The sequence below is a fragment of the Homo sapiens genome, chromosome 11 (assembly GCF_000001405.40).
Source record: "Homo sapiens chromosome 11, GRCh38.p14 Primary Assembly".
Lineage (NCBI taxonomy): Eukaryota > Metazoa > Chordata > Mammalia > Primates > Hominidae > Homo > Homo sapiens.
This window is the reverse complement of record NC_000011.10, coordinates 87,627,494-87,641,028: the sequence shown is the minus strand read 5'-3', so window position 1 is coordinate 87,641,028 and position 13,535 is coordinate 87,627,494. Positions and strand designations below refer to the sequence as shown.

General features: G+C 37.1%; 1 long non-coding RNA gene across 3 annotated transcripts in view, besides 1 other annotated feature; it reads right to left on the bottom strand.

The window, feature by feature from the left end:
• The window catches only part of LOC107984361 (uncharacterized), a 552,293-nt gene that overhangs the window by 271,017 nt on the left and 267,741 nt on the right, over nt 1-13,535 (bottom strand). The gene's annotated exons all lie outside the window — the stretch shown is intronic.
• Nucleotides 721-1,264: an enhancer, noted in NCBI's record as "NANOG hESC enhancer chr11:87350657-87351200 (GRCh37/hg19 assembly coordinates)". NCBI's record gives its function as "activates a minimal SCP1, AML or CMV promoter by ChIP-STARR-seq in naive H9 embryonic stem cells {active_cell/tissue: H9 hESC(naive)}" and the evidence as "EXISTENCE:reporter gene assay evidence [ECO:0000049][PMID:30033119]".

Sequence of the window (13,535 nt, the reverse complement as noted above, 5' to 3'; positions counted from 1 at the left end):
ACACCAACATATATTTTCTTGTGTTTTAATTTTCTTGACTCAACTGGAGTATATAATGTTTGAGGGCAGAGGCCTTCTCTAACAAACACGAAGTCCTTGTTCAACACAACACCTCCTGCTAGGCTCAGAATAAGTTTGCCTTGCCACAATGTGTTGGCTTGGGCAGTAATGTGACAGAGGGATGAAAGTAATATGTTCTATGGATTTGAGTATCCGTACATCTTGACAGGTGCCAAAAATGAAACACACCAAAATCTTTGGCCCCATTTCCCAAAAGAATACAGAATTCAAGAGAATTATTTAATATATTAAGCAAAAAAGATTAGGCTACTGAAAATAGTATTATAACCTGCTTTATAGTCCACCATGGTGGAAAGGACATGGGTTTTCTCTTTTTTTTTTTTTTTTTAATGCTTGCATTCATAGGCTTTATTTTTTCTATTAAAAATATTGTATTTAATTTTGGTTCTCCACTGATTAGCTGAATGGGCTTTAAAAATTTATTTGCCCTCTCTGAAACTTAGTTTCTTCACCTGTGAAACAGAGGCAGTAATTAATAGGATTTTTGTTAGGCTTAGAATGGCAAATGTAAAATATCTAGTTTTGTGAACCACAATAAGGGCTCTAAGGCCATGGGTTCGTTCCCTTTTCCACATCAGTGAGTAAAAGTGGCTATGAGGAGGGAAGAGTTTATGTGTCTAATAAAATCAGGAGGCTTGGATTCTCTGGAAAAGTCTGCTTCTCTCTGAGTCTCAGGATTTTTTGTTCTATGTCTCATGAGAGATTGACCAAGAGATCACTCAGATTTCTTCAGGTCCAACAGACATTCTATAGGTCTGTGAATACTAACTAGGTCTGCCTATAGCCTCACCGACTCAGCCCTCCCAGCTAATACTATTCCCATGACAACTAACAAAAAGGCAATAGAAAGAAGTTAGGGAAACAAGAGATCAAAGAAAAATAATGAGGCAGGCTTCAAAGCATAAAGAGAAAAAGGAGGAGAAAGGGGAATGCAAAACAACTGAAAGCTAGTGGTAAAGAGAACACTAGGCTGAGAGCTATGATGTTGTCAGCACAGTCAGCTGACAGCCCTGCCCATCAGAATTCATAGAGATGATACAGGGAGAAGAAACCTGCAGAGGGCTGAGGGCTGCTTTTAGAGGGCATAGATATTACAAGGTAGAAGCTGCCTGAAGCATCATAGCTTAATTTCTGAACTTCCAAATCACCAACTGAGCTTAGCTTAGAAATGGCAATTCATAAGGCTCTTTAAATTTTAACTTTCTTTGAAGAAAAAGATATCCTAATTTTTTACTGCTTTCATTCCTAAAACACTTAACTCATATTTCCAATGGGAAAGAGTCAGTGAAAGAAGAGAGTGGGTTATATAAGTTGTAGAGAAAAAGAATGATCATAAATAAGAAATCCTGTGTCCCTAGAATGGGTCAGATGCTGTTAGTTGCTTTTCCAAAATATTCAACTTCGATTGTCCTTCACAATTCAGAGACACAAGCCAGCTGGAGTAACACATGAAAGGGAAAGGATATTGAGTGTATTTGAGGACAACATGTTGAATTTAAGTTCATGTGTATCTTTAAAGTAGGGCTAACGGACAAGAAACGTTTTATAAAACTTTGCTACAAAAACTTGGTTCAAAGATCAAAGGCATCACGATCACTAGGAATCTTATTAGAAATTCAGAATCTCAGGTGCCTTTCCAGACCTACTGAATCAAAATTCCAAGGTTTTATTTGAACCCTAAAATTTGAGAAACCCTGTATTAGAAAATGAAAAGAGACTGCTAATAATTCTTTCTGCAATTATACTAAGTAATTTATTTCAACACTCTGTTTTTATGTTTTAATAGTAATGAAAAGTCCTACTAAAGTTGTCATTTTCTATGTTGGGTAACTGCAGGGTAGGAGGAAGATGACTTGGCTAGGTCTTTACTTTGTCACCACTATTATGACATGAGAAAAATAACTTATGTTTTCTAAATTTTAGTTTCTGCTTCTGCAAAATGAGGCCAATTCATGTAATTAGTAGTGTCACAGTGTTAACAGGGAACATAAAATAAAGAGTATGAATCATGCTATACCTCTTCCCAAAAAAACTTCAATGACTCCTCATAGCCTACAAGTTAATATCTAGTGTCTTTAAACAGCATTCAAAGCTCTTCACTCTTTAACGCCAGGCATGATGCCTCACACCTGTAATCCCAGCACTTTGGGAGGCCAATGCAGGAGAATTGCTTGGGCATCATAAGGAGACCCTGCATCTACAAAAAAAAAAAAAAGTTAGGTGTGGTAGGGCACACCTGTAGTCCCAACTACTTGGGAGGCTGAGGTGAGAGGATCACTTGAATCCAAGAGGTTGAAGCTGCTGTGAGCCATCATCACGCCACTGCACTCCAACCTGGGTGACAGAGCAAGACTCTGTCTCAAAACAAACAAAGAGCAACAACAACAAAGCTCTTCACTCTAGCCCTATCCTACTCCTCCATCTTCATTACGCATTATATTTGCCCATGAATCCTGTACTTCTGCCTTTCCCTGAAACATAACATTCACTTTCATTTTCTATCCACACATCTATCCTGTTTCTTCTGCCAGGAATAGGCTCTTTTCTTTCTGTAATTACCAAAATTCTACTCATCCAAGAAAACTCAGTTCAGAAGCATCTGCTTCACAAAACTGTTACCAGTAACACTAATTGTACATCATTTAACATTTCTCTGCACTGATACAGTGATTTACACTTTTCTCTACAACACTATTTCATTCTTCTTTGAGTTGTTGCTAGTTGAGTATATATCTGAAATTGCCTTTGAAATGTAAAGTACTCAAGGAAAGGGATTACTTGTTATTTATCATTACAGTTCCCTCAACAACTAGCACAGTACTTTTCACACCATATATAGTAAATTTTTGAGGAAATTAAAGAAAGATGAAAAAAGAAAGCTTCTCAAGATATACATCTAGAGATAATTTGTTCTGAAAATTATCTGACAACATTCTAATGTGGCAGGAATAAAATTGCCAATAAAATACGTGCCAATCTTAACAATACAAAGATAGGAGACAGAGATGGTATACATAACTCTATAGAGAGAAATGTATTTAATGTGTGGTTCCATCAGTATATATGCAATGCTTACTGTGGGGTCCCTGACCTCCAAGTTCTACCTCCATGCTCTCCTTTAGTTTGGGCCATTGAAGAGATGAGGTTTCAATCAATTCCCTTTAGAATAAAATTATCTTCATAGCTGCTCATTTGAGGTTAGCTGAGGGCTGATTTCTTAGTAAAGCATGGACAACCTTATAAAGGGCATGAGGGCTAGTATTAAAGAATTCAGTAAGAGAGATTGTTACAGAGAAGACACTGAGCAGAAATTCAGTAGATTTAGACGTAAGTTCTAATTCTGGCACTGTGTAACTCTGGGCAAGTTACTTAACCTTAGAGCATAATTTTTCTATCTCTCAAAATGATTACTATGATTAAGTAGACAACTATTGCTTTTTTGTAATTTGCAAATTGTAAAAAAATAAAGTATACATATGGAAGGTATCACTGGTAAATTCAGCTAACAGGACAAGTTCAGACTTTAACTACTGGTTTATCAGACTGTAAAGTAATGGGCATGAGAAGCCAATGACTTTAATTTAGACCCATCCCTCCCTTTGTGTTATGCAGAAAAGTGAAATTGACAACAAAGTGAAAGGTTATCTATTATTTTTTCTGCCCTGACCCCAGATAAAGTCCCTATCTTATCCATACAGAGCCAGCAGACACATAGACTCCTTTCTCCACACCTCATCTAGTTATTGAAGGGCGAGCTCACTGTCAGAGTCCAAAACAATTAAAAATGGCATAAGGACAGAAAAACAGAAACAGAGATGGCTTTAAGATAAAGTTTAAACTGTCTTCTCCCCAACCGCAGCCAAAAAACTAATTTGACTTTAAAGATGGTTCCATGAGGAGGGAGGAGGCAAGATGACTTTATTCCACTTCTGTAACTTTACCTCCAAACACACAACTTCTAGCACAAAAGTACAGTGGTAAATAATATGGGTTTGGAAGCCTGACTTGAATTTGATTCTACGTTCTGTTAGGAGCTATAAAGGAGCTGAGATTTTTACTCTACTTGCAAGCTAGTAAGTTCGCTTGCCAGTTTTATGGATGCTGGCATAATCTATAAGACAAAGTATCAGAGACCAAGTAGAGATTTTTACAGCTATAGCAGTAGACAGAACATCTTTTGTCAGTTTTCCAAGTGACAATGCTCAAGGGCTGAGGTCTCTTGACACCTGTACATACAGTGGGTTGTGTTACAGGAGAGGAAATCTGAGCTTGGGGAACCCAAATCTTTTACATAGTAAGCATGCCTGCTCTATGCTCCAAAGGAAGACTCTATCTTCTTTTATTATCCTAAACATTAAGTATTCTTGCCTTTGCTCCAGAGGTAAATACTGTCTCTGTCTTCCAAAGCTGTTCACTATACAAACATCCTTGACAAGATCATCCAGAACAAAGGCAGCCATGCCTCTGCTGACTACATGAACAGAAACATAAGCTCCATGGAGAACTGTCTTCCAACAGGTTTTTGTTCACTTTTTAGCTATAATTAAAAATCAAATTTTACTTCCCTCTCAGCATAAAGTTGGAGGTTTTTCTTCCCCATATAATGAATGTAGAAGTAGCACTTATAAGGATAAAATGCAATAATTCATATTAAGTCCTTAGCACACTGTCTAGTACATCAATGATAGCTAGTTTAATGCAGCAGAATGACGATGGAAGTGTGCATGGAAATGTCTTTAAATCTGCCCCTAACCAACAGTCCATTCTGGTTCATTAACAAGCACAGAGGCAGCTTGATGTGATTCCCAGGCTAAGGAAATATAAGAGATGGCACAATGTAGAAGATAGAGTCTTCCTAGCTCTATAATTTACTGCATTTCTGACAATGGACACTTAACTTTACTAAACCTCATATTCTTCATCTAGAAACTGTCTTAACTGATCAGGTTGCTGTAGCACTTACATGGAACACTTGTGTGATAGGTAGTGTTTGGCACACAGTGATGGGTGTTCAGCAAATAGTGGTGGGCTATCATTAAGTACTGGTAACTACCTAAGTCACCTGATTCAATGTAACACTTAAAGTTGTTTTAAAGCATTTTAACGTCTACCACAACCCCTTCAGAACCCCTGACCACCCATCCAAAAAGAACTACTGAACATCATTTATGCATGAGGGGATACAGACCATTCCAGATGCTCAAAACTCCACAGGGGCTGTAGATCTTTTTAGATGCTCAGAACGCCATTATTGGAACATTAATGGGGAAAATGTCCTCTTGAAAGTCTCATCTTAATATTATGTAACGCGGCCTCTTAATATCTAAGAATCTTAGAATCCTAAACTTTGAGCAGAAATGATAGGTGTATACGAATCTCAGCTCCTTGAGAAATATACTTCTCTTCCATAGTACTGAGTTTCATAACCTTAGCAGTCTGAGATATGACTGAGAAACACTAGGAGAATCAATCTCCTTCTCTACCCACTCACAGACTACTTGAGAGTTTCTGCCATCACTTCCTCCCACCCTATCCACCTAATTCCCTATACACATCTTATTTCCTTCTCTTTCCCTTCTCTCTTTTCTTATTTAATCAATATTTGATCTTAAACATTGACGATGTTCATTAAATTGGTATTTCTGCATATACCATGTATGAAGCATGCAGCTGAAGATACTCAAACACAGTAGGTAACTATAGGAAGTACCAAAAATTTTAAGGAAATGACTCAGGTTCATGAAAAGCATCTGTCTACTTGAGATTACACAGACATTCATATGTGAAATCTAAAAAGAAAGAAACAAGCAAAATTATGCACACAGATTCATACACATGAAGCTAAGTGCCCATTTTTCTTCGTCACTACTTCGAATTCATCACCGCAAATTCATTGCTGCTCCAAATCCAAGTCACTAATATTAGCACGTGGAATGAGTATTAAGAGACATCACTATGCAATGTGTAATTTGGGCTGAATAGCAAGCATATTATATACTGATGAACTTCCTAATGTCTCTACTTAGAGTTACAGGAATGAGGGCAAGGGGCAAGCACCAACTATGCCATTGTCAGCGCTCAGGCAGGAATGGGACAGCAACCAGAGAATAGCAAATACTTCTGCTATCCCCAACCATAAGCCTCAGGTTGAATGTGCCAAAGGAAATCTGTCTTCTAAAGCCCTTGAAGCCACAAGCTGTATTGAGAGTAATAGTTTGGTAACCTGCTCTTGGCCAGATGGTGTTTGTTGAACGAATAAATGAATGTGCAGCCTCTATTTCCAGTGAGATTTTGCTACCTCCCTTCATTCTCAACACTATCAGAGCCTGGGCAAAAAGCCAACCAATAAGATTCAAATTGTTCTGTTTCCAATTATGCCTTTGTGTTATAAACCACGGACTCATCTATAAACCATGTGGTACAGACAGCCCAATTTAAATCCTGAAACATTGGGAGAAACTGCTACTGCTCAGGAGACTCACAATATGAAATGAGACTCACAGGCATTGTTAACCATAACATGTCAAGAAAAAGGCAAGGTTTCCCTCAGGCAGCAGGCTCGACAGCTCCTTTTCTCTCCAGAGATTTCTTCTTTTGTTTTCAGGCTTTGACTATGTCCCAGCAGAGAGAGATGTCTAGGAAATCCTCACTAAGAATGTAAGCTCTAAAATTCAAAAAAGGAAGGCAGATGCTCTAGGAGAAAGAAAAAAGACTGTATTTTAAATAGAGAACACAGGTTGGAGATTTTCCGTATTACATCTTGAGTAATATACTCTGTTATCATCCAGTGAACATGTAAGTATATATCAACAGGACTATCTCCTTCAAGTTTAGGACAATTTGTCATTTATACCCTTACTTAATAAACATGTACAGATCTTTCACCCAGAGCCTACCCATTTACTTTCCATACACTGTCTCGTTTAATCTTCAAAACACCCCTGAGAGATATATAGCATTACTGCCACTACAGATATATTATGGTTCAGATCAGGAACACAGGGCTAAGAGAATAACTGAGCTCAAAACTGACAAATTGCAGAGTCGGACTTTTGACCTGGACCTGCCTAATTTTAAAGCTCATAGTTCCTTGTGTGGAAACAGTAGTGATGACTCCACCACCTCAATGCAACCCTACTATACATCTCTGAAAACAAAGAAAATTGAAAGATAATCCTGAGAAACCCTTGTATATATATTCAATAGACCGATGAGATGAGTCTCAAAGGAGATTGAAGAGACAGAGAGGTTTAAAAAAAAGAGTCCAAGAGTATAGGCTGTGACAGAAACAAATAGTATTGTTTACAATTTTTTATTGCTAACCGATAGTTACACCTTTAATGTCTTTTGAGACTACTTCCAAAATCCTACTAATAAAGTTGTGAGGACATGCTTATTTTGTCTCTGTAAAACCAGAATTGAAATGAATATTTCTCTAAAGTTTCATCCTACTTTGACTATATCATGTCATTGTTTAAGTGACACCAATATGCTGAAAATTCAATATTTTTAACCTCTAACCCAGACCTCTCTTCTGAACTCCAGATGTGTATGATCAACTACACATGTCTCTTCTTGAGGTCTAATAACTATAGCATACCTAAGGTTTCCAAAACGGAGTTCTGGATATTATCCCCTAAACAAGCTGCACCCATTTCTTTCCTCATCTTAGAAAACAGCAATTAATTCCAGCCCTCTAGTTGTACAAACTTTACAATCATTATCAATGTCTCTTCTCCTACCCCATACCCCATCCGTCAGAAATTCTTTTTGGCTTTCTGTTCAAAATATATCTCAAAACTAATGGCTTCTCACCATCACCATTGCTACCACCTGGTCCAAGTCCATGTCATACAATGCTTGGATCTCTGCAAAAGTCCCTATGAGTTGCCCTGTTTTTGCCCATGCCCGTATTAGTCTAATCTCCACACAGCTGTCAGAGTTATCCTATCTCAGCCTTCTGCAGTGGTCTATTTAACTGGAAGTAGGAGTCAAAATCATTCCAATGGTCTACGAGTCCACACATGATCTGTTCCCTATCTCCATTACTTTTCTGATGTCATTTCATTCTGCTCTCACCCCAGCTTGCTCAGCTCCAGTTTTCACATATTTTATTCCTTCTGCCTCAAATGCATTTTCTACAGATGCCCAAAAGGCTCACTCCCTCACCTCCTGTAAATTTTACTCCAATAAAGCTTTCAATGAGGTTTTCCTCAGCCACCAAATCTATAACTGCAGTGTCCAGACATTCCCAATTTCACCTTTCATGTTTTACTTTTACTGTTACACTTAAAATATAAACATGCTAAATATTTTACTGATTTTTCTTTTGTATTCAATGTCATCTCATTCCAATTTAGGTTTCAATTTAAGACAGAGTGTTTATCTGTTATTTTCACTGGTATATCCCCAGAAGCTAAAAAGTACCTGGTAAACAGTAGTTGCTCAATAAATATTTGCTTAATAAATCATCAAAGAGTGAAACATATTGTTGGTTTAAGGTAGGTAATTTTTGTCTATTGCTGATAGCTTTCTTATATCCTCTGTTTTCTAAAACTTTTAGATGTTAAATTTTATCAGTGCCATCTCTTCATTTATTGAAATTATCACCTACTTTGTTCTATCAAATATTAATACGAAGAATTTACTTATAAGTGATCTGCAATTAAATCATCTTGTATTTTTGAGATAATGCTACTGACAGATTATTTGCTAAACATGCATTCAAATTCAACCTGTTAGTTTTTATAAAGTTCTTTCAAAAAAGTTTTTCTCTTTTTTGCATGTGCTATGTTTGTGAGACTTGTGAATAACCATATGCTACCTTTATAAAATGATTTGGATATTTTCTCATATTTTTCTAAGCTTTTAAACAGTTTATCTAATAAAAGTATATTGCAAAAGAGTATTTTTTTCAAAGTTTTAAGCTGAATAAACCTTTTTGGATGTAATTTTTTGATAACTTTTATTCATTTAGATCTTGGTTAATGATCTACTTGAGTTTTCTACTTGTTTTTGAGTCAAGACAATACAGTTTTCTCAGGTAAAATTCATCCATTTCACCGATGCTTTCCAATTTATTGTCATGAAGTTACATAGAGTGTTTTTTTTCTAAAATTTGAACCCTTCTGTCTTTTTCATTAAAAACTTCTCCATTTGGGTTTTCGCTTTTGCTTTTCAGGCTTTGAAAAGTTGAAATTTAAGTATTTTAAAAATACTTCATAGGCTCAATTCTGTTCTCTTATGCAATTCCTTAATTTTTGCTTGTGTCTTTCTTTCATATTTCTTTAAGAAACAGACAAACAGAGAGCCAAATTATGAGTGAACTCCCATTCACAATTGCTTCAAAAAGAATAAAATACTTAGGAATCCAACTTACAAGGGACGTGAAGGACCTCTTCAAGGAGAACTACAAACCACTGCTCAATGAAATAAAAGAGGATACAAACAAATGGAAGAACATTCCATGCTCATGGGTAGGAAGAATCAATATCGTGAAAATGGCCATAATGCCCAAGGTAATTTATAGATTCAATGCCATCCCCATCAAGCTACCAATGACTTTCTTCACAGAATTGGAAAAAACTACTTTAAAGTTCATACGGAACCAAAAAAGAGCCCACATTGCCAAGTCAATCCTAAGCCAAAAGAACAAAGCTGGAGGCATCACGCTACCTGACTTCAAACTATACTACAAGGCTACAGTAACCAAAACAGCATGGTACTGGTACCAAAACAGAGATATAGATCAATGGAACAGAACAGAGTCCTCAGAAATAACGCCGCATATCTACAGCTATCTGATCTTAAACAAACCTGAGAAAAACAAGCAATGGGGAAAGGATTCCCTACTTAATAAATGGTGCTGGGAAAACTGGCTAGCCATATGTAGAAAGCTGAAACTGGATCCCTTCCTTACACCTTATACAAAAATTAATTCAAGATGGATTAAAGACTTAAACGTTAGACCTAAAACCATAACAACCCTAGAAGAAAACCTAGGCATTACCATTCAGGACATAGGCATGGGCAAGGACTTCATGTCTAAAACACCAAAAGCAATGGCAACAAAAGCCAAAATTGACAAATGGGATCTAATTAAACTAAAGAGCTTCTGCACAGCAAAAGAAACTACCGTCAGAGTGAACAGGCAACCTACAACATGGGAGAAAAATTTTGCAACCTACTCATCTGACAAAGGGCTAATATCAAGAATCTACAATGAACTCAAACAAATTTACAAGAAAAAAACAAACAACCCCATCAAAAAGTGGGCAAAGTATATGAACAGACACTTCTCAAAAGAAGACATTTATGCAGCCAAAAAACACATGAAAAAATGCTCACCATCACTGGCCATCAGAGAAATGCAAATCAAAACCACAATGAGATACCATCTCACACCAGTTAGAATGGCAGTCATTAAAAAGTCAGGAAACAACAGATGCTGGAGAGGATGTGGAGAAATAGGAACACTTTTACACTGTTGGTGGGACTGTAAACTAGTTCAACCATTGTGGAAGTCAGTGTGGCGATTCCTCAGGGATCTAGAACTAGAAATACCATTTGACCCAGCTATCCCATTACTGGGTATATACCCAAAGGACTATAAATCATGCTGCTATAAAGACACATGCACACGTATGTTTATTGCAGCACTATTCATGATAGCAAAGACTTGGAACCAACCCAAATGTCCAACAATGATAGACTGGATTAAGAAAATGTGGCACATATACACCATGGAATACTATGCAGCCATAAAAAATGATGAGTTCATGTCCTTTGTAGGGACATGGATGAAATTGGAAATCATCATTCTCAGTAAACTATCACAGGGACAAAAAACCAAACACCGCATGTTCTCACTCATAGATAGGAATTGAACAATGAGAACACATGGACACAGGAAGGGGAACATCACACTCTGGGGACTGTTGTGGGGTGGGGGGAGGGGGGAGGGATAGCAGTAGGAGATATACCTAATGCTAAATGATGAGTTAATGGGTGCAGCACACCAGCATGGCACATGTATACATATGCAACTAATCAGCACATTGTGCACATGTACCCTAAAACTTAAAGTATAATAATGATAAAATAAATAAAATTAAAAAAAAGAAATACACATCCCTCCAGTATGCACTTTAATTTTTTGACCTAATTTTACTTTTATTTTTATTCTTTATCTTCTTAATCCCTCTCCATTGCCATTACAAGTCATTCTCATCTTATGTGGCATCTTAACAGATTCTTCCTTTCAGCTTTCTGCTTCTGTTTCATAAAGGTCTTGTCTTACTACATCACACCGACCTTTTCAAATTTTCCAAATGTTTTAGGGATTTCTGTAATAAGTCATTTACAGTGGTATACTCTTCCTCTGAGTATTTAGGTTAATTTCCTCTTTCCCTGTTTTTATAAACATGGATGGAGGGTTGCTTGTTTGTTGCTTGGTTTTTGTTGTTGCTTTTTGCACAGATTTGTGTTTATCTTCGGACAAGATACCTGAGTGGTGCTTGGCTTCATTCGTAACCAAGTGCCAGTGGAATCTACTTCTTACATTATCATCAGGATCACAGATCCAATCACAATTCTTGTTTCTGGTCTGCTTAATTCTAGTCTTCTGCTGAACTAAGATGGGATCAAATCTGCATTCCTTCTATACCCATAACTTGGAATACATATATATATATGTATATATATGTATATATATGTACATATTCATATATATATATATATGTATATACACATTCAACTTGTGTTACCATGAGTGTTCTGCCAGTCCCTGCCTCCATCTGCTGGGCTTTACTGCAGGGCTAACAACCTCTCTTGGAATCATTTATTCATTCATTCAGTAAATATTTACTGGATACCTAATGTGTACACTGCTTTCAGCATCAGTCTGTTCTTATTTTCTAAGATAATGTTTTTTGAATATTGTTAGTTTAGAAAGAGTGATCAAAAAATGAGAGCAGAAGGGGACATTCTTTGTACCATCTCAAAATAGCACCCATATAGAAGATACAGAAGAAGGGCAGAACATAATTTTATGGTTCATAGAGACCTGGGTCTCTGATCTACAGTGAAACAGAAAATAAGCTTGGATTCCACCTCTTTCAAATCACTGGCACTGTTCTGTTTTATAAGGTGACACATAATTATGACAATTATTAATCAGTTTATCAATCTCAAAAGTAGTAAAAATTAAAAGTGCTCCTATATTCTTGCCATAAGATGTCTCTAACTCTCTCAGACACTTTGTTTTTCCAGTGCCTTTTTTTAAGGGGATAATAAAATAAATTTTAAACTGGAAGCCATCCATGCTTTTCTTACTATTGCCACTGCAGGGAGTTTGGTATATCCTTGGGCAAAGGCAGATCCTTCAGCCGTATTCTAACCAGTGGGACTAACGTGGGCACTGAAGCACCGTTGAACTCTGAAAAAGTTAAATGGACCAACTATAAGATAGGCCTCCTCAGAGTCTAATCAGCTTTCAAACCATAAAACCCACATTCCTGTTGAGCTCCAGCACACAGCCTGCTGATGCCCATTTGGATAACAGGCACAGCATGTACTTGCAGGAACAGCTGCCTCGCTTTTCCCCCTTTGGCAGGCAGGATATTGCAGCTATAAGGATCTGGTATTTTCCTTCTAGCTGCTGAAAAGTAGGAAGCAGTGTAAAGCATATAAAGTCTTCTCTGGCCATGTGGTAATGTCTGGCAAAGGCACACATGGAAAAGAGTGAAAGTTGTCAGTTACAGATACCACCTATGCAGAGACCCAGGCTTGGGTGTGAGTGGCTTCAATGTAAGAGAAGCAGTTAGAGGCAATCATGCTTTAGGAGTGGGGAGAGAATGAGCTTTGGAGACAGACGTGCCATTTTAGCTGTGAGGCCTTTGGCAAGCAACTCACATGAGAAGTCTCATGGCTTGTTTTCTCATGTAGAGAATTAAGATAGCAATAGTTATCTCACGGGGTATAGAGAGGACTAAATAAGATAGTGCATGTTAAATTCCTGGCATATAAAAGACACTCAATAAAGGACAGTTCTGTTCTGCTCTGGACCAGAACTAGGGTGAAGCATTGGAGGCACTCAACACGGGTACAAAATTTAAGGCCCACCAAAAACTCAGCAATCAAGATAAATAATACTTTAATATAATACTTTAAAAATTATTAAAATTAATGCAAACAGCTATATGATGGACAAAAATATCAAAATTTTAAATAAAGGCAGAATCTGCCCTGTACTTTATAACCCTGGCTCACTTGTCTCATCCTAATCCCGGCCCCGTTTACAGAAGAATTTTACTTACAAACACAGGAGCTAGCCACTGGGTCATAATGTGTTGATTTCATTCTTTAAAATATTGCATTAAATATTATTTATATTTTTTACTTAGTTTTTTGGCACATTAAATTTTGCACCTTAAATAAATTCCTTACTCACCTCA